The 20,379-nt window shown below is 43.3% G+C and overlaps 1 protein-coding gene across 1 annotated transcript, besides 2 other annotated features; it reads right to left on the bottom strand.

Annotated features, from left to right (window-relative positions):
- Positions 1,989 to 2,166: a silencer, noted in NCBI's record as "fragment chr1:201939921-201940098 (GRCh37/hg19 assembly coordinates)". NCBI's record gives its function as "represses an EF-1alpha promoter that drives an FKBP-Casp9 reporter gene in an ReSE screen in HepG2 liver carcinoma cells {active_cell/tissue: HepG2}" and the evidence as "EXISTENCE:reporter gene assay evidence [ECO:0000049][PMID:32094911]".
- On the bottom strand, positions 2,295 to 17,456 carry TIMM17A (translocase of inner mitochondrial membrane 17A). Its single transcript, NM_006335.3, has 6 exons — positions 17,407 to 17,456; positions 15,579 to 15,678; positions 15,385 to 15,448; positions 9,215 to 9,343; positions 7,416 to 7,526; positions 2,295 to 3,490 (listed from the first exon to the last, which is right to left on the bottom strand). The coding sequence occupies exons 1-6, from the start codon at positions 17,430 to 17,432 to the stop codon at positions 3,405 to 3,407; spliced, it is 516 nt and encodes a 171-aa protein (NP_006326.1). The 5' UTR covers positions 17,433 to 17,456; the 3' UTR covers positions 2,295 to 3,404.
- Positions 17,178 to 17,467: an enhancer, noted in NCBI's record as "active region_2325". NCBI's record gives its function as "activates an Ori minimal core promoter by ATAC-STARR-seq in GM12878 lymphoblastoid cells {active_cell/tissue: GM12878}" and the evidence as "EXISTENCE:reporter gene assay evidence [ECO:0000049][PMID:35858748]".

Here is a 20,379-nt window from a genome sequence, read left to right as displayed (position 1 = left end):
CCTCAAGTCTCGACCCCAAGTGATCCACCCGCCTCAGCCTCCCAAAGTGCTGGCATTACAGGCATGAGCCACTGGGCCCAGCCTGAATAGAATTTGGACAATTAATTTTAACTATAAGTAACATGCCACAGGGTGGAGCTATGACCATGCTTTCATAATTTGCAGACATTTCCTATGTGAAAAACAGATGCACTTTCAATAGCAGGTGCAGCTGTACCCATGTCTTCCAAACCCTGATTCAGAAATCCACTATTTCGGCCAGGCACAGTGGCTCACGCCTGTAATCCCAGCACTTTGGGAGGCCGAGGTGGGAGGATTGAGTCCAGGAGTTCAAGATCAGCCTTGACAATGTGGCAAAACTCTGTCTCTATTTAAAGAAAGTGCTGGCCAGGTGCAGTGGCTCATGCCTGTAATCCTAGCACTCCATCTCAAACAAACAAACAAACAAACAAACAAACAAAAGAGTCTTGTTCTGTTGCCCAGGCTGAAGTGCAGTGGCATAATCATAGGTCACTACAGGCTTGACCACCTAGACTCAAGGGATCCTCCCGCCTCAGCCTCCCAAGCAGCCGGTACTACAGGTGTGCACCCTATCTCTGGCTAAATTTACATTTTGTGGCTAGCGTCTCACTAGCCCAGGCTAGTCTCCAACTCCTGACCTCAAGCGACCTTCCTGCTTCAGCCTCCCAAAATGCTGGGATTATGGGTATGAGCCACCATCCCCAGCTGAACTGTTTAATAAATATTCTAAAACTAAATTTGGTATACTAGAGTAGAGCTCAAGATAAAAAGTAAAAAAACTAAATTGTTTTAATAACTGAAATAAATAACTGGAGAAACAAGCAGATTAGGAAGGAGGTTTTCCCTAGGTCTTTACTGGAATAGTGAAGTTAGTTTCTCACTTTTAAGGTTGAAATGCCCATCAGAAATACCCCATCTGTTTTGCTTTGTATCTGACATCTTGTGCCAAATTGGCATGCAATAGTGGATTACTTTTTTGTTTTGAGACAGTCTTGCACTGTTGCCCAGGCTGGAGTGTAGTGGTGTGATTTTGGCTCACTACAACCTCTTCCCTCCCAGGTTCAAGTGATTCTCCTGCCTCAGCCTCCCAAATAGCTGGGATTATAGGTGCCCGGCACCATTACCAGCTAATTTTTTGTATTTTTAGTACCCACCGGGTTTCACCATGTTGGCCAGGCTGGTCTCGAACTCCTGACCTCGTGATTCACCCTCCTCAGCCTCCCAAAGTGCTGGGATTACAGGCGTGTGCCACCGCGCCCAGCACTTTCTTTTATATTTTTGAGACGGAGTCTCGCTCTGTCGCCCAGGCTGGAGTAGTGGCAAGATCTCGGCTCACTGCAAGCTCCACCTCCCGGATTCACGCCATTCTCCTGCCTCAGCCTCCAAAGTAGCTGGGACCACAGGCGCCCACCACCACGCCCAGCTAATTTTTTGTATTTTTAGTAGAGACGGGATTTCACTGTGTTAGCCAGGATGGTCTCGAACTCCTGAGCTTGTGACCTGCCCGCTTTGGCCTCCCAAAGTGCTGGGATTACAGACGTGAGCCACTGCACCCGGCCAGACTCTTGTGTCTTTAAAAAAAAAAAAGTTAAACCTAGAACTACCATATGACTCGGTAATCTCACTCTTATGTATATATCCAAAAGAACCAAAAATAGGAGTTGAAACAGATAGTTGTACACCAATGTTCATAGCAGCATAATTCACAATAGCCAAAAGGTAGAAACAACCTAACTGATCATCAAATAAAATGTAGTATATGCACACTATGGAATATTATTCAGCCCTAAAAATAAATTTTGCTACATGCTACTACATGGACCTTAAAACACGCTAAGTGCATTAAGACGGACACACAAAAACAAATATTTTATGATTCCACTTATATAAGGTACCCAGAAAAGGCAAATTCACAGACAGAAAGCAGAATTGTGGTTACTAGTGGTTGTGGCGAGGAAAGAATGGGAAGTTATTATTTAACAGGTACAGAGTTTATGTTTGTGAAGGCTGGACATGGTGGCTCATGCCTGTAATCCCAGCATGGGGTGTGGGAGGCTGAGGCAGAAGGATGGCTCGAAGCCAGGAGTTCGAGGCTGCAGTAAGCTATGACTGTGCCACTGCATTCCAGCCTGGGTGACAGAGTAAGACACTGTCTCTAAAAACAAAACGGAGTTTATGTTGATGATAATGAGAACATTTTGGGTATACATAATGGTGGCTGTTATACAACATTATGACTGTATTTCAATGCCACTGAATTATACACTTACAAATGGTTAATAAGTATTATTTTATGTATATTTTACCACAGTCGAAAATTCCCAAATTATCCAAACACAATCAGTAATTAAATGCCTACCATATGTATGGCATTGGGCCAAAAGATAAACGTGTGTTTACAGTACCCACATGGCTTTGTTCTCCATTTCCCACAGATGTAGGCAAATGTGTAATTAACTAACATCATGCCTCCTATAGGGCCACATGTCACTTCCAATATCAGGAAAATGACCTGTTCTGAAGTGCTCATCCATTTTCCAGGCCCAACCAGACCCCAAAATACATCGTTTATGCAGAGGACTTGGAACACATTCAAAACAGTACATACTTTATTTTCAAGCATACAAGAAACACTAAACTCTTCCAGTGCCAGTACACTCTCCATGAATTCTTCATATAGAATTGGGTATATTGGAAGCAAGTTGTTTCTGGTGAAATTTCTGATGATCAGGAATCAAGACTCAGTAGCCCTAAAGGAAGAGAGTTTTGTATCCAATATCCTCAAAACCAAGACATAGTATATTTTACTTTCAAAGTAAACTATAAACATTTTACCATATCCTTCAATCCATAAAGCATCTCACTGTGAAATGATCCATGTTGACTCTGCATAATTCTCAGAAGTCACTTCAAGTGATGAGGGACTAACTATAAAACATGCATTATTTGAAGTACATGAGCATGAAACATCGAAGTCTACAACTTATCTTAAAAGAAAGAGTAAGTTCCACCAGCTTTTTATTGTTTGAATAACAGAACACACAAAACCAGGCAGAGAAGTCCGCAAGGAGATGATGATCATATTTCACTGTTTTTTGGCCTTTTGGTCCTTCATCTTTCAAGCACTTACTGTATTTTCCTTTAGCGATTTAAACATTTATTTTGATCACAAATGCAATTCAAGTGTGAATAAATAAACGTATTATCTTTTAGCACCCTTCCCCGCTTGTTCCTTTAAATAGAAAAAAGTGCTAAATGTCTCTTTATAGCCTATTGGCCATAGCTGTCCCACCTATGGTTTTAAAAACAGACTGTAACTTGATCTTCTGAAATCCTTCTCGAACCACAACTCGTTCTGTTAAAGAAATCCTAGGAAAGAAGTCCTACTGATATTGTCGATAGTCTCCAAAAGGTGAGGAAGGTAACTGAGTTGAAGGCAACTGGGAGGGGTCTTCTGCAAACTGAGGACCTGCAAGTGAGAAATAAAAAGGATTTAAAAATCACCTGAATATTATATTATTAAAAAGAACAAATCTCTATAGAGAGTAAATCAATCAACAACAAAAAAATGTGCTAAATTAAAGCTATAACCCTAAATTTCTTTATAGATCTGCCTAATTCCCATAAGAGTACTGGAGAACCTTCAAATTTGGTATAACATATGACAGACTGGCTTGCTATGCTCCAGAATGAACAGTTTTCAAACACTATGCTAGGAAAGTCAGACGGATTAATTATAGCAAGAAGCAAACTTCAAGTTTTTAAAGCAATTGCTGTAACAAGCTGCCATATATCAAGATTAGAAGAGTTTCTCCCACTTCTTGTCATATTTTTCAGTAGCTATTTAAAATTATTTTCACAAAGTATAAGTATCCTAGTCATGTTTTAAGAGAACTTGGTAATCCAATTTATATAACCAATTAAGTAGGGAATGAGCTCTGAAATGGGAAGACACCCCCTAGCTTACTGTAGAACAAAGTCTTGCAGTTTTCATTTTCAAAGGATAGGAGAGCCTGTGAACTAAGTAAAACAAAGTGGCTTAAAAAAAAAAAAAAGACTTTTAGGGGATGAATCAATCTTTTCTCCTTTAAGAAAAACTGAAGTAGACTAAAAAATATCTGGAAGGAAGAGAGAAAGAGGGCAGTGGCAGAATTCTCTGAAGTTTTCAAAGTGTTTCACTCATATATTTTTACTTCACTATAAATGCAACTATCTGTTAATTACAGAAAACTTGAGAAGATACTGGGTAAAAAAGATAAGCTGGGGCCGGGTGCGGTGGCTCTCGCCTGTAATCTCAGCACTTTGGGAGGTTGAGGCGGGCAGATCACCTGAGGTCAGGACAACATGGCGAAACCCCGTCTCTACTGAAAATATGAAAATTAGCTGGGCATGGTGGAGGGTGTCTGTAATCCCAACTACTCAGGAGCTGAGGCAGGAGAATCACTTGAACCTGGGAGGTGGAGGTTGCAGTGAGAAGAGATCGCGCCATTGCACTCCAGCCTGCGAGACAGAGCAAGTCTGTCTAAAAAAAAAAAAACAAACAAAAACAAAAAAACCCCAAAAAAAGATAAGCCGATGAAAACCACTGTTGCCATTTACATACAGTTCTGTCTAACCTTTTTTCACTGTTTTAAAAACTTTTTTGCTGGGCGCGATGGCTCACATTCCCAGCACTTTGGGAGGTCAAGGCGGGCGGATCACGAGGTCAGGAGTTCGAGACCAGCCTGACCAATATGGTGAAACTGCATCTCTACTAAAAAATACAAAAAAAAAATGAGCCAGGTGTGATGTTGCGCACCTGTAGTCCCAGCTACTCAGGAGGCTGAGACAGAAGAATCGCTTGCACCCCGGAGGCGGAGGGTGCAGTAAGCTGAGATTGCACCACTGCAATCCAGCCTGGGCGACAGACCGAGACTCTGTCTCAAAAACAAAACAAGACAAACTTTTTCATGTAAGTTCACTGGAAAAATATGATTAAGTTTTCAAAGATTTCCCCCCTACACAGCTTTTCAGAAACACATCTCTTGTCTAAAAATAAATACACCTCTTTTAGGCTGCTTCTATATAAATGCTGAGTTTTAATTACTAAAAAGGAGATTCCAGCTGGGCACGGTGGCTCACCCCTGTAATCCCAGCACTTTGGGAGGCCGAGGCAGGGAGGATCGCTTGAGCCCAGGAGTTTAGGATCAGCCTGGGCAGAGACCTCATCTCTACAAAAAATATAAAAATTAGCCGGGCATAGCGGTGCACACCTATAGTCCCAGCTGCTCAAGAGGCTGAGGTGGGAGGATCGCCTGAGCCCAGGAGGTCAAGGCTGCAGTGAGCCGAGATTGCACCACTGCACTCCAGCCGGGGTCACAGAGATTCTGTTTCAAAAAAAATTAAAATAAATAAATAAATAAATAAAATAAATAAATAAAAAGGAGATTCCCTCTGAGGAAAAAAGCCTAAAACAAAGTACTCAAGGCTAATTTCTATGAGACAATGTAACTATTTAAGTTAACTATATCCATTTCTGAATTTCTGTGAATATGGAACTGTTTTGATGTTTTATGTAAAGTCTTTCACACTGAAGCAGTCAAAACAAAATTGGAAAGTGACCATCACTACAGAGTGTTAACTCAGAAGTAAGGAATGAAAAACAAACAGAAGGTGAGAGGGTCTGCAGGGTCATCTAGATTACTCACTGCCATTTAACGAGCAGTGCACTTGAAAATTGTGCCAAAAAGATACTGAATCTCTTGCTAGGTGCCTCAGGGAAATCAAAGCAAATTGGGATGTATGATCTATTCCTAACTTTATGCTGAATCTTTTCCAAGCTCCAAAAATAATTTTCAACATGTCTCACTATTCTACGTATTTTTTTCCTTCCCAAATGCCAGGTCAAATTTTCACTACTACTATCCTCACTATATATATATACACACACACACACACACACACACAACATATATAATATACAACATATATAATATATAACATATATAATACATAACATATATACAACATATAACATACATATTATATAACATATATAATATATAACATATATAGCATATATATAACATATATATGTTATATATATATATATTTTTTGAGATGGAGTCTTGCTCTGTTGCCCAGGCTGGAGTGCAATGGTGTGATCTCAGCTCACTGCAATCTCTGCCTCCCAGGTTCAAGTGATTCTTGTACCTCAGCCTCCCAAGGAGCTGCGATTACAGGCGTGTGCCACCATGCCCTGCTAATTTGTATTTTTAGTAGAGACGGGGTTTCACCACGTTGGCCAGGCTGCTCTCAAAACTCCTGACCTCAAGTGATCCACCTGCCTCAGTCTCCCAAAATGCTGGGATTACAGGTGTGAGCCACCGTGCCCGGCCACCTCACAATATCTTTTTGCATCCTTCCATTGTCAAGGGATATTTTCATTTAGACACTGAAATTTTTTTTTAAGAGATGGGGTCTTGCTCTGTTGCCCAGGCTGGCCTTGAACTCCTGGGGTCAAGTGAGTGGCCTCCTGAGTAGCTGGAACTACAGGAATGCACCATCTTGATAGAAGTTTTCTGTTTGTTTCATTTTGAGACAGAGTCTCGCTCCATCGACCAGCCTAGAGTGCAGTGGTGTGATCTCGGCTCACTGCAACCTCCACCTCCCAGGTTCAACTGATTCTCGTGCCTCCTGAGTAGCTAGGACTATAGGTGTGAGCCATTATGCCTGGCTAATCAGCTGAGAGCACATTCTATAACCATGTAATGATCATTCAGCCCACAATTTAATTATTACCCTATGCATCATATAGGAGGAACAACAGGCAACAAATTAAACCAATATAAAAATTAGCCGGGCTAACACATTTTCTAAGATACTTCTACTGTGAACCCTAAAGTGACCTTCCCAAATATGAGTCACTTTCCACTATTCTCTTCTTCAAAACAAGCAACACTATCTAAAATAAGCTAATTTATCTGTTAATGTGTTAGTCTGTCTCCCCCTACCAGAATGTAAGTCCTTGAGGGCAGGAACTGTCCTGTTCACTACCTAAAACAGTGTCTGGCATGTAGATGTACAATACTAAATTGTCAATTGACCATCATGATTGTTATACATCTGCAGAACCATTCTTCAAGTCCCTTTAAAATGATCAGACATTTCTTGCAAGACATGAGCACTGATAAACCCTAAGTACTATAAAGAAAGATCAACAGCAAATTTATACAAAAAATTTTTGTTTTTGTGGCTAAATATAACATGTTCATTTTTTACCTATTATCACAGTCCTCATGAACCACAGCATATTAATACATACCACACATTTTATCACACAAAGTATGTTCTTTCTTAACATCAGAAAACCATTCCAAAATGTTTGAGCTATAGTTTTAAGCAAAAAGACTCACCATTGGGAAACTGTGCAGAGGCAAATCTTGTCAACAAGATACCAGCTCCTTCAATTAAAGCTAGGAGAATGCCACCCATTGCGGCTGACCCAACCATGGCCACTGGTCCATCTGAAGACATTAATAACAAAGAGATTATTTTTTACAGAAATCTAGTTTACTGTAAGAGATAGTAAAGAAGAGAACTGTCCATATGGTGACATGCTCCCCCAACTCCCAAACTCTTTCTTATTGCCTAAGACCCAGAGTCAGTAAACTACAGCCACCCACAGTCCACCCACTGCCTATTTTTGTAAATAAAGTTTTACTGAAAGGCCATAAATCCCAGCACTTTGGGAGGCTGAGGCAGGCAGATCATGAGGTCAGGAGTTCGAGACCAGCCTGGCCAACATGGGGAAACCCCGTCTCTACTAAAAATACAAAAATTAGCTTGACGTGGTGGCGGGCACCTGTAGTCCCAGCTTCTCAGGAGGCTGAGGCAGGAGAATTGCTTGAACCCAGGAAGCAGAGGTTGCAGTGAGCCGAGATTGTGCCACTGCACTCCAGCCTGGGTGACAGAGTAAGACTCCGTCTCAAGAAAATAAATAAATAAATAGGGCCGGGCGCAGTGGCTCACGCCCGTAATCCCAACACTTTGGGAGGCCGAGGTGGGTGGATTACGAGGTCAGGAGATCGAGACCATCCTGGCTAACATGGTAAAACCCCGTCTCCACTAAAAATACAAAAAATTAGCCAGGCGTGGTGGCACACACCTGTAGTCCCAGCTACTCGGGAGGCTGAGGCAGGAGAATCGCTTGAACCCGGGAGGCAGAGCTTGCAGTGAGCCGAGATTGCGCCACTGCATTCCAGCTCGGGCGACAGAGTGAGACTCAGTCTCAAAAAAAAAAAAAAAAAAAAAAAAAAAAAAAGAAATAAAATAAAATAAATAAATAAATAAAGTTTTACTGAAACACAGCCATACTGTTTCGTTTATGTATTATCCATGGCTGCTTTCATGCTATGACAGCAGATTTAGGTAGCTATGACAAAGACCACACAGCCCACAAAGCCTAAAATATTCACTATCTGGCCTTTTACAGAAATAGTTTGCAAATCCCTTGGTCTAAACCACTAAGCTCAAAGGAATTCTCTGTCCTGAGGATCCAGAAGATGGTTCTAAGTTCCTTATTCATAACAACTCTATATGGCAGGTGTAATTATTAATTAACTCCAGATTACTGGTGAAGAAATTATAGCATAAAAAGTTTGGTAAACTGACCAGTCATACAGCTAATTAATGGCAGAACTGGGACCTGAAGTGCTCTCAACCACTGTAATATATGGGTTAGAATTCCATGCTCTTTCATTCTCAAATATTCCAAATAAATAGATCCCCTTACTTTTTTTTCAAATCACCATATACTGTATATTTATGCTATGCCAAATTAAACAATGCTCAGTTTTATAATTATTATTTTTTTTGAAGCAGGGTCTCACTCTGTTGCCCAGGTGAGAGTGCGGTGGCTCAAGTGATCCTCCTGCCTCGGCCTCATGAGTAGCTGGGACTATAGGCATGCACCAACACACCCAGCTAATTAAATTTTTTTTTTTGTAGAGACCAGGTCTCCCTATATCTGATCTCAAGCTCCTGGACTTGTGCAATCTACCTGCCTCAGCCTCCCAAGTGATGGAATTATAGTCATGAGCCAATGTGCCTGGTCAATAATCAGTTTTATATATTACAGATGTCATTCAATTGAGGCAGATGAGGTTTTCCTAAAAGTGTGGCTTCTACTAGTATGTCTGTAATGACTACTTACTTCTTGCTGCCAGTATGGCTCCCGTTAAGGCACCACTTGTGATGGAGTTCCAGGGATCTTCCTTTCCTCTGACTTGAACCATACTACAGTCAATCATGGAAAACAGCCCTCCCCAAACTGCAAAGCTACCTATTTTATTGTAAAAAGAAACAAGCAAATACTAATTTAAATTTCATCTTCCATTTAAAATATTATAGTCAAAAACATACTCACTATAGTCTCAAAATTTATAGTCCAAACAAATACATGCAAACACAAGTTTGAATAAACACCGAACAAGAGTTAGAATACTTATCTTTCGAATAAAGCTGGATTGTATTATATCAGCTGGAAAATTAGCAACGGCCCAAAGCCTATAAGAAATAAGCCAGCCGGGTGCCATAGCTCACACCTGTAATCCCAGCACTTTGGGAGGCTGAAGTGGGTGGATCACCTGAGGCCAGGAGTTCAAGACCAGCCTGGCTAACATGGCGAAACTCCGCCTCTACTAAAAATGTAAAAATTAGCCGGGTGTGGTGGCGAGCACCTGTAATCCCAGCTACTGGGGAGGCTGAGGCAGGAGAATCGCTTGAACCCAGGAGGCGGAGGTTGCAGTGAGCCGAGATCGTGCCACTGCACTCCAGCCTGGGCAACAAGAGCGACACTCCATCTCAAACAAACAAAAAAGAAGCCAAGCCTAAAACAGTCAGGCTGCATATGTGTAAAAACAAGCAAATCACCCTTCCAGAATAACATATCTCTCTGGTTTAAGCAGCAATAAACAAAATCAAACTACTCTGCTTCCTCTTTCGTTCTTCTTTTCTTTCATAGCTTTACTTACCTCTATTTTTGGCCTTTCTGCATTATATGTCATTGAGCATCTACTCTATGAAAATCACCGATGGGAAAACAAAAGAAATCCAGCTATTCTGGAACGTATTACAGGTGTAAGCCAATCCATGCTGAAGGGGCAAATGAATGATATAAATAGCTAGAACTATGGAACATCAAAGGGATGGAAATTGCCTGTCCATCCTTTATTCCTCAGATATGAATTTAAAACAACCTTAAATCAGCAGATTACTTTGCACTTAAACTCTATCTAAATACAAAAACAGCCAGGTGCGGTAGCTCACGCCTACAATCCCAGCATTTTGGGAGGCCGAGGCGGGTGGATCATGAGGTCAGAAGATCGAGGGCATCCTGGCCAACACGGTGAAACCCCCGTCTCTACTAAAAAATACAAAAAAAATTAGCCAGGTGTGATGGCGGGCACCTGTAGTCCCAGCTACTCTGGAGGCCGAGGCAGGAGAATGGTGTGAACCCAGGAGGCAGAGCTTGCAGTGAGCCAAGTTTGCACCACTGTGCTCCAGCCTGGGCGACAGAGCGAGACTCCGTCTCAAAAAATAAAAAAAATAAATAAATCCAGTGGATAGTACCAGTGGAGTATAGCATAAGCATCCTCATTTTTAGTACAATATTAGACATCACATCCTATGTAAAAACAAACCAGTTATTTCTTCTAACTCAGTAATTCTATGCCCTGGGAGAGAGCTATGACGTCTAGGTATATTAGAATTACCTCACTAAAATTTTCTGACAAGACCCTCCCATTTCCTCATGAGCCTAAAATCTCAGGAGACCCTTCCCCTGAGAATCATTGCCAGAATAAGTGTTGGCTACTAATGAGAATGGAGAATTTGAGTCTAAGCAGGATGAGGAGGAGATCCATAAAGGGTAGCCTGGTGTGAGGATCCAGAGCCAGATGAGGCGAACGTCTATACACCTGGACACCCGAGAACAAGGTTTTAGAGCCTAAGCAAGAGAGAGATTCTCAAGGAAGGCAGCCTGGCATGGAGTGTCAGAGTATACTCTGACAAAGGGCAGCCTGTTGTGGGGTACCATAGCCCAAGCAGGTTAAGAAGGCAGGTATACATATGAAAAGGAAGAAAATAATGAATCCTGTGGGATGAACTGGAAATACGAGATATCAATATAAACTTGTGATTTTCAGTATGTATAGATATACAGAAATATAGATTGTATACCATTCTTGATTTTTCTTTTAAAAAATTTTTTTGTAGAGAGGCATTCTCTCTAAGTTGTCAAGGGTGTTGAACTCCTGGGCTCAAGCCATTCTCCTGCCTTGGCCTCCCAAAGTGCTGGGATTACAGGTGTGAGCTACCACTTCTGGCCCTAAATACCATTCTCAACTAAAAGGAACTGGGGCTCTTTGGAGAAATGGCTACAACAGGAAAAGCTGCCCTGCCCACAGCTAGGGCATGAAAAGTACAAGATGAGCCTGAAACGTCTTCTTCCAAAATGCAAGAAAGTGGTCAAAGAGTAACAGGGACATGTCAAAATCCTATCTTATTTTCTCTATGAAAATATAAGACCTGGGCTGGGCCGGATGGCTCACGCCTGTGATCCTAGCACTTTGGGAGGCCAAGACGGGTGGACTGCCTGAGCTCAAGAGTTCGAGACCAGCCTGGGCAACATGGTGAAACCCCATCTCCACTAAAATACAAAAAACTTAGCCAGAAGTGGCGGCATGCGCCTGTAATCCCAGCTACTTGGGAGGCTGAGGATGGACAATCGCTTGAACCGGACAGATGGAAGTTGACGTGAGCCGAGACCGCGCCATTGCACTCTAGCCTGGGCAACAAGAGCGAAATTCCGTTTCAAAAAAAAAAAAAAAAGAAAATATAAGACCTAAGTCCGGGCGTGGTGGCTCATGCCTGTAATCTCAGCACTTTGGGAGGCTGAGGTAGGCGGATCACCTGAGGTAGGGAGTTCAAGACCTGCCTGACCAATATGGTGAAACCTCGTCTTTACTAAAAATACAAAAATTATCCCGGCTGTGGTGGCGCATGCCTATAATCCCAGCTACTCAGGAGGCTGAGGTGGGAGCATCACTTGAACCTGGGAGGCGGAGGTTGCAGTGAGCCAAGACTGTGCCACCACACTCCAGCCTGGGTGACCCTATCTCAAAAAAAAAAAGAAAGAAAATATAACACCTTTCAGAACACAACTATGATTTTCCCATACTGCCTGTCCCTCCCTGCACCTTGATCTGAATACCTTAGCAAATGCTCACCAAATTAATAAAATCATCATCCTAGTATTTTTAGAATTTAAAATACCATAAAAACTTCTCAATAGCTTCCTAAAAAAGGCTAACCTCTAGGATTTGAAATGGATAATTCCAATTCACTCATATCACCACTCACTCTTCCTCTATTTCACCGTGCTTTGTAAGAAAAAATAAACTCTTCCAGTTTTTCCCTATTACCAACATCTACATTAGCATGGAGCATCTGTCACAACTAATGACCCAATATTGACACATTACTATTTTTTTTTTTTGAGACAGAGTCTTGCTCTGTTGCCCAGGCTAGAGTGCAATGGCACAATCTCGGCTCACTACAAACTCTGCCTCCCGGGCTCAAGCGATTCTTCTCCCTCAGTCTCCCGAGTAGCTAGGATTACAGGTGCCTGCCACCACACCCGGCTAATTGGTGTATTTTTAGTAGAGACGGGGGTTTCACCATGTTGGCCAGGATGGTTTCGAACTCTCGACCTTAGGTAATCTACTGCCTCAGCCTCCCGAAGTGCTGGGATTACAGGTGTGAGCCACTGTGCCCGGCCGACACATTACTATTAACTGAAGTCCATACTTAATTCAGATTTCCTTAGTTTGCTAATGTCCTTTTTCTGTTCCACAGTACCACATTACATTTATTTTTATTTATTTATTTATTTATTTTGAGACAGAGTCTCGCTGTCACCCTGGCTGGAGTACAGTGGTGTGATCTGGGCTCACTGCCAAGTTCCGCCTCCCGGGTTCAGCCATTCTTGTGCCTCAGCCTCCCAAGGAGCCGGGACTACAGGCGCCCGTCACCATGCCCGGCTAATTTTTTTTGTTGTTGTTTTTTTTTGTATTTTTAGTATTTTTAGTAGAGATGGGGTTTCACCGTGTTAGCCAGGGTAGTCTCGCTCTCCTCACCTTGTGATCCACCTGCCTCGGCCTCCGAAAGTGCTGGGATTACAGTCGTGAGCCACCGCGCCCGGCCTACATTTAGTTTTTAATTTTATTTATTTATTTATTTTTTGAGACAGCGTCTCACTCTATCACCCAAGCTGGAGTCCAATGGCACAATCTTGGCTCACTGCAACCTCCACCTCCTGGGTTCAAGCGATTCTCCTGCCTCAGCCTCCTGAGTAGCTGGGATTACAGGCACGTGCCACCATGCCCAGCTAATTTTTGTATTTTTAGTAGACATGGGGTTTCACCACGTTGGCCAGGCTGGTCTCAAACTCCTGACCTCGTGATCCACCCGCCTTAGCCTCCCAAAGTGTTGGGATTACAGGCGTGAGCCACTGTGCCCAGCCCTTTTATTTTATTTTTTAGAGACAGAGTCTTGCTCTGTCACCCCGCCTGGAGTACAGTGGTGCAATCTCGGCTCACTGCAAACTCCACCTCCTGGGTTCAAGCGATTCTCCTGCGTCAGCCTCCTGAGTAGCTGGGACTACAGGCATGCACCACCGGGCCCAGCTAATAATTTAGTTGCTATGTCTTCACAGGCTTCTTTTGGCAGTGACAGTTATCTGATGGTATTTTAACTCACTGAAAATGCGTAAGGTGATAGAAGCAGCCTCTCAAAAAACAAGCAAAAACCTATATGGCTTCTGCATATACTAGAGGTTCTGGGTTTGGTGTGAACTTTTTAATACCACTCATCATTCTTGAATAACACAATAACCACCAACACAAAAACAAAGAGAAATTAGTTACTAATTACTTTCCAGGGTAGATAATTCTTACACAGGGAACAAAGGAAAAAGATACAACATTACCTCAACCCTCAGGAACTAAATTTCCTCATCTGGAAAATGGGAGATAATAATAGTACTAACTTCTTCATTACTGTGAGAGTTAAGAAAAGCAAAGAGAAGATTATTTTGATACCCAAAACATCTAAGGAACGACTGAAGTATTAAGATTTTTTCATGTCTTATATACGGTCTCTCCAATCTAACTATACCCTTGTGTTGTTTGTTTTTGTTGCTGTTTGAGACAGGGTCTCTGTCACCCAGGCTGGAGTGCAGTGGTGCAATCTCACTGCAGCCTCAACCTCATGGGTTCAAGTGATCCGTCCATGTCAGCCTCCCTAGTAGCTGGGACCACAGGCACATGCCCCAACACCTGGCTAATTTTTCCATTTTTCTGGGGAAATGGGCAGCCATGCTGCCCAGGCTGGTCTCGAACTCCTGAGCTCAAGCTATCTGCCTAACTCAGCCTCCCAAACTGCTGGGATTATTGGCGTGAGCCATTGCGCCCAACCCTGACTATACCTTTGTAAGTGAATATAACCTACAAACATTTTTTGTCACCTCCCTTTTCCCAGCTTCTGAATAACCAAGTTTACAAAGTACAATGAATAGAATCTTTTCAAATTTTCCAATGACCTCTGCACAATGTCCCAAAACCAACCTTGGAGAAGAGCCCAATCGGCTTGATGGGTTTCTCCTGCATGAAACCCCAATCCTTCAGATCACATTCTCTTCAGCTTTATGTTACCTCAGAAGCTATCGGTCCTGACTCACGAACCTGAGGTTTTTTTTTTTGAGACGGAGTTTCGCTCTTGTTGCCCAGGATGGAGTGCAATGGCATGATCTTGGCTCACTGCAACCTCCGCCTCCCGGGTTCAAGTGATTCTCCTGCCTCAGTCTCCTGAGTAGCTGGGATTACAGGCATGCGCCACCACGCCCAGCTAATTTTGTATTTTTAGTAGAGATGGGGTTTCTCCATGTTGGTCAGGCTGGTCTCAAACTCCTGACCTCAGGTGATCTGCCCACCTCGGCCTCCCAAAGTGCTGGGATTACAGGCGTGAGCCCCGTGCCCGGCCTCACACCTGAGCTTTAAATAACTGTCTTTCTTCTGGAGAAGGAAAAAAAAAAAAAATCACCGAGTGTCTGAAGGACAGAGACAAGATTTTCAAATGGGTATCATAATTCAGGTTAATTTTTCAAACAAACTACAAATCAAGAAGAAACTATAGGGATATATGTTTGTGACAAACCGTTAGACCAAACTAAAATCACTAATTGTTGTAATCTAAAAATAAAAATAGCTCCATCTTCAAAGGAACAGAAAAAAATAGTTCAGTTAAAATGAAAATTCTGCTTACCTCCTAACTGTGGAGCCCTGGTTTTAATAGCTGTCAAACTCCCTCGTAGTCTGTGGTTTACTCCCTATAACAAAAAAAAGGAAGCAACAAAAAATATATTAGAAGTACATTTCTAAGCCACTGATGGGACCACCAGTAATATCATCAAACCCAAGTTGCAAGTGATGATAAAATAAGACCATTCACCCACTTACCACTGGAGAATTGCGAAAACCTTTGATTGCTTGAAAGATACCACCACCAATGGTACCCATCGTAAAGGCCCCACCACAGTCATCCACAATTCGCCATGGGCTAAGAACAGGGGGAAAAAAAAGACCATATTTCTCATTCACAAACCATAAAATCTTCTTTGCCAATACAGTAAGGATTATAATGGAACAGATTATACTGCAGGGCCCACTGCAACCAATAAATATTTGGCCTATAAAATGACTTGAGGAAATGCTGTAATCAAACAGGGCAGTCAAAAAATCAAAGCAGTTTTGACTACAAAGATAACCAGGTAACTGATTATATTGTTTCAGGGCATACGTACTAAGAGAAAGCAAAGGGGCTACCTAATGATTTAGTAAATGAAAACCCATTATTTTTCTAAGTTGTTTTTTTTTTTTTTTTTGAGATGGAGTCTCACTCTGTCACCCAGGCTGGAGTGCAATGGCGCAATCTTGGCTCACTGCAACCTCCGTCTCCTGGGTTCAAGTGATTCTCCTGCCTCAGCCTCCCAAGTAGCTGGGACTACAGGCGCGTGCCACCACGCCCGGCTAATATTTGTATTTTTAGTAGAGACGGGGTTTCACCATACTGGCCAGGCTGGTCTTGAACTCCTGACCTCGTGATCCGCCTCGGCCTTCCAAAGTGCTGGGATTACAGGCGTGAGCCACCACACCCGGCCTTATTTTTCTAAGATCTTTAACTCAACATAGTTAAATATTTTAACTCTCTGCTAACCTGTGTCATTATAGTACATCAAACAGCTATTTACAGTGTGCTGAGTCCTACATATCTGAGCACAATCCAGAATGGAGGATAACTGCTTTGAAGAAGATAAGTTTGAAGAGCCAGGAGACCCTAAAACTTATATTTTGTATGCCATTTATGGGAGAGGGGAACATAAAACATGCAACAAGGCTAGGATACCAGAGTAGTAATTTAAGGTCCTGGGCACTTTCACAAATTGAGGACATCTTGGTTGTTGCTCTTACACAATAAAACAAATGATTAACCGAAATATCAAGATTTGATTTTTTACCTATGACCCTAGAAACTTTAAACTCTGGCAACCTGAGACTTCTGACAGCAATTACATCGTTTTATAATTATCTATGTGTCTGGTTTATTCATACTCAATAAACGCTGGATGTAACAATGAATTTCTGTCCATGGCTTTTCAGAGAACACATGCTATTACCTCTTCCTATTTCCCAGGTAATTTTTGTCCCCCTCTACCCTCAAGAAAGAATTCCAAGAAGGAAAACAAGGCCCCACGCAATAAAGAAGCTTATCCAGACCCCTTGGCTAAAATCTATGTTCCATTCATTTAAAATGCTTCACTCTGTGGACACATATCATGATACAAGTAAAACCTCAAGAATGACACTCCCTCAAATGCCTATTCTTCAGTTCCTCAACGCAGGAACTGAGCAAGGCGAGACGGAGGGACGCGCCCAAGGTCACCTCGACGAACAGGGGGGATTATAACTGGCCCCGCATAAAGTCGATTACGCCCTGCGTTGGGAGGAGGTTCCGAGGTTCTATCAAACTCAAGTCTGGACCTCCTTACCATCCATCACAAGGTCACACGGGTGCTGGGTTGGGAGAGGGAGGCTCACGCGGCCGGGGAGGTACTAAGTACAGGGCTAAGAAGCCGACTGGCCGCGAAAGACCGCATTGCCCAGTTACCAGGCCCAAGTCGACGAGGCTGCGGTTGAGTCTGGCTTGCACCTTGGGAGCCTGGACAAGGGAGAAGGAGGGCAGTGGGCAGGGGGGCAAGAGAAATGCAAAGACAGCGGTGAAGCTCACCAAGGCTCTCGCGCGTACTCCTCCATCTTGACTCCAATGCCGCGAGTGATGCCGGGCAAGCTGGGCGGAGCCTGACCCCAGAGGCGGAAGTGATCCCGAGAGGAGGGCGTTAAGGTCTATGAGCATTGGTTCACCATTTCCCGCTGCAGCCAATGGGAGCCAGGACTCCTGTGGCCAGCGTGTGGTCGGGGCATTGGCCGCGGCGTGGCGAGACTGGCCCTGCCCACGTCCTCAAAGGCCGCGAGTCCCGGCTGTGTGGGCGGGGGGCTACCAATGACGGAGTCACACTACCCGGTCACCAGAGGTTCCGTGGACTGAAATCAACGCGATACTGCCTAAATACGCTTCTTTCTTTCCCTTCCCTTCCGCCTTCCCTTCCCCCTTCCCTTCCCCCTTTCCTTTTCTTCTCTCCTTCCATCCTTTTTCTTTCTTTCTTTTTCTTTTCTTCTTCTTTTTTTTTTTGAGACAGAGTCTGGCTCTGTCGCCCAGGCTGGAGTGCAGCGGCGAGATCTCGGCTCACTGCAACCTCCGCCTCCCGAGTTCAAGCGATTCTCCTGCCTTAGCCTCCTGAGTAGCTGGGACTACAGGCGGGCGCCACCAGGTCCGGCTAATTTTTATGTTTTTTTAGTAGAGACGGGGTTTCGCCATGTTGATCAGGCTGGACTCGAACTCCTGACCTCGTGATCCGCCCACCTCGGCCTCCCAGAGTGCTAGAATTACAGGCGTGAGCCGCCGCACCCGGCCTCTTTCTTTCTCTTCTTTTCTTTTCTTTCCTTTCTCTCTCTTCTTTTTCTTTCTTTCTTTTTTGGTACTTTTGCTGTCAAATGTGGATTAATGCTATCTTATTCGTCACTTACTGTGAAGCTGTTACCAAATACACGTAGCTCCTTTAGGGCAAACAGTGTCTCAGTGATTTATAATAACCACAGTGCCTGGAATGTAGTAGATGCTCAATAAATGTTTGTGAACTGGAACTGTTTGGGCCATCTGGAGAGCCATGACCAATTTGGAGCCCTCGATTTCAGGGACATTGACACCAGAGCCTCTCACAGGCCTCTCCACTAATGATCACCAGAAGGTGTGAAGATGTTTGGCTCGGAGAAGAGGGGACTTATGGGGACCAGGCCGGGCGTGGTGACACGTGCCTGTAGCCCTGACTGTTCGGGAGACTGAGGCGGGAAGATAGCTTGAGCCCAGGAGATCTACCCCGCAGGGAGCTGTGATCATGCCACTGCACTCTAGTGACAGAGTGAGACACTGTCAAAAAAAAAAAAAAAAAAAGGTTGGGACCCATGGAGCTTTTAGTTTACTGTCAACAAAATCCCAATCATGTGATGGCTGTTAAAGTGCTCCTCTCCATTCTGTACGTTTGTAATTAACTTTAAAAATATGTATATATTTATTTTACGGAAAAGTCAATGTCATAAATAATGGAAGAGGCCGGGCGCAGTGGCACACGCCTGTAATCCCAGCACTTTGGGAGGCCGAGGCGGGCGGATCACGAGGTCAGGAGTTCGAGACCAGCCTGACCAACATGGTGAAACCCCGTCTCTACTAAAAATACAAAATTTAGCCTGGCGTGTTGCCTGTAATCCCAGCTAGTCAGGAGGCTGAGGCAGGAGAATGGCTTGAACGTGGGAGGTGGAAGTTGCAGTGAGCTAAGATTGTGCCTGGGTGACAGAGCGAGACTCCACCTCAAATAAATAAATAAATAAAGGAAGACTGCAAAGAGGAGTGAGGGTCTCTCCAAAAGCTTGGAAATAAAGTAAGCAGATGAATCGAACCCTCCATGGAACTAAAGATTATCAATAAATGTGTCTTGCACGTGAGAATGGTTCATACTAGTTATCTGATTTGGGTGTGTAAGGTGGAGAAGACGTGTTCAGAATGTGACTGTAATTAAGAATAGTTAACTCTATTTAATTGTACAGGCCAAAGAGAGAATGTGGGAGAGGGGACATGGAGGAATTCAGAGGGCAGGAATCTGACATTTAGTCAGCACCGAAGACCTGGTGGGTATAAATATTTTAGTAACTAGAGATTTGCACTCTCACCAGGACCCAGATAAAATATCCCTTAGCTCTAGCTCTAGCTACCTCCCTTTGTTCTTATTCCATATTTATTATGCAATCTTCTTCTTCTTATTTGGCTTCTGAATAGATTTCGATATAGAAGAGAATACCCTGGCCTGTGTTTATAACTATTCTTCTCCACTTGGTAGTTAATACTGGCTTATGTATCTGCCTCTTGTGAGATCAGTTATTTTGACTAAATCACCAGGAATAGTCAGGGTTCTCCAGAGAAACAGAACCAAGAGGATATATATATACACACACATATATATATCTTATTGTGTGCAAATATATATATATCCTTCTGTTTCTGTTTCTCTCTCTCTCTCTCTCTCTCTATATATATATATATATATATACATAAAATTAATATTTATTTATTTATTTTTGAGATGGAGTCTCACTCTGTTGCCCAGGCTGGAGTGCAGTGACGTGATCTCGGCTCACTGCAACCTCTGCCTCCCAGGTTCAAGTGATTCTTCTGCCTCAGCCTCCCGAGTAGCTGGGACTACAGGTGTGCGCCACCACACCTGGCTAATTTTTGTATTTTTAGTAGAGATGGGGGTTTCACCATATTGGCCAGGCTGGTCTCAAACTCCTGACCTCGTGATCTGCCCACCTGGGCCTCCCAAAGTGCTGGGATTACAGGCATGAGCCACCACACCCAGCCTATTTATTTATTTATTATGAGTAGTTGGCTCACATGATTATGGAGGTTGAGAAGTCCAATAATCTGTGTCTGCAAGCTGGAGATGGAGGAAAGTCAGTGATGCAGTTTGGTCCAAGTCCAAAGGCCTGAGAGCCAGGGGTGCTGATGATGTAAATCCCAGTTTGAGGGCAGGAGAAGGTGAAATGAGATATCCCAGCTCAATAGTGAGGCAGGAAAAGAGGGGCAAATTCT

Source organism: Homo sapiens, chromosome 1 (assembly GCF_000001405.40).
Source record: "Homo sapiens chromosome 1, GRCh38.p14 Primary Assembly".
In the NCBI taxonomy this organism is placed as follows: domain Eukaryota; kingdom Metazoa; phylum Chordata; class Mammalia; order Primates; family Hominidae; genus Homo; species Homo sapiens.
Note: the sequence above shows the minus strand (reverse complement) of the source record. Positions and strands in the feature narration are given on the sequence as shown.

What these genes read in the sequence shown, in the direction of transcription:
- TIMM17A (NM_006335.3), bottom strand. Translation starts at nt 17,432, where the DNA reads ATGGAGGAGTACGCGCGAGAGCCTTG. An exon ending in GAGTACGCGCGAGAGCCTTG is followed by an intron (nt 15,679 to 17,406) that starts GTGAGCTTCACC and finishes CCCTGTTCTTAG; the next exon opens with CCCATGGCGAATTGTGGATG. An exon ending in CAGGGCTCCACAGTTAGGAG is followed by an intron (nt 9,344 to 15,384) that starts GTAAGCAGAATT and finishes ACAATAAAATAG; the next exon opens with GTAGCTTTGCAGTTTGGGGA.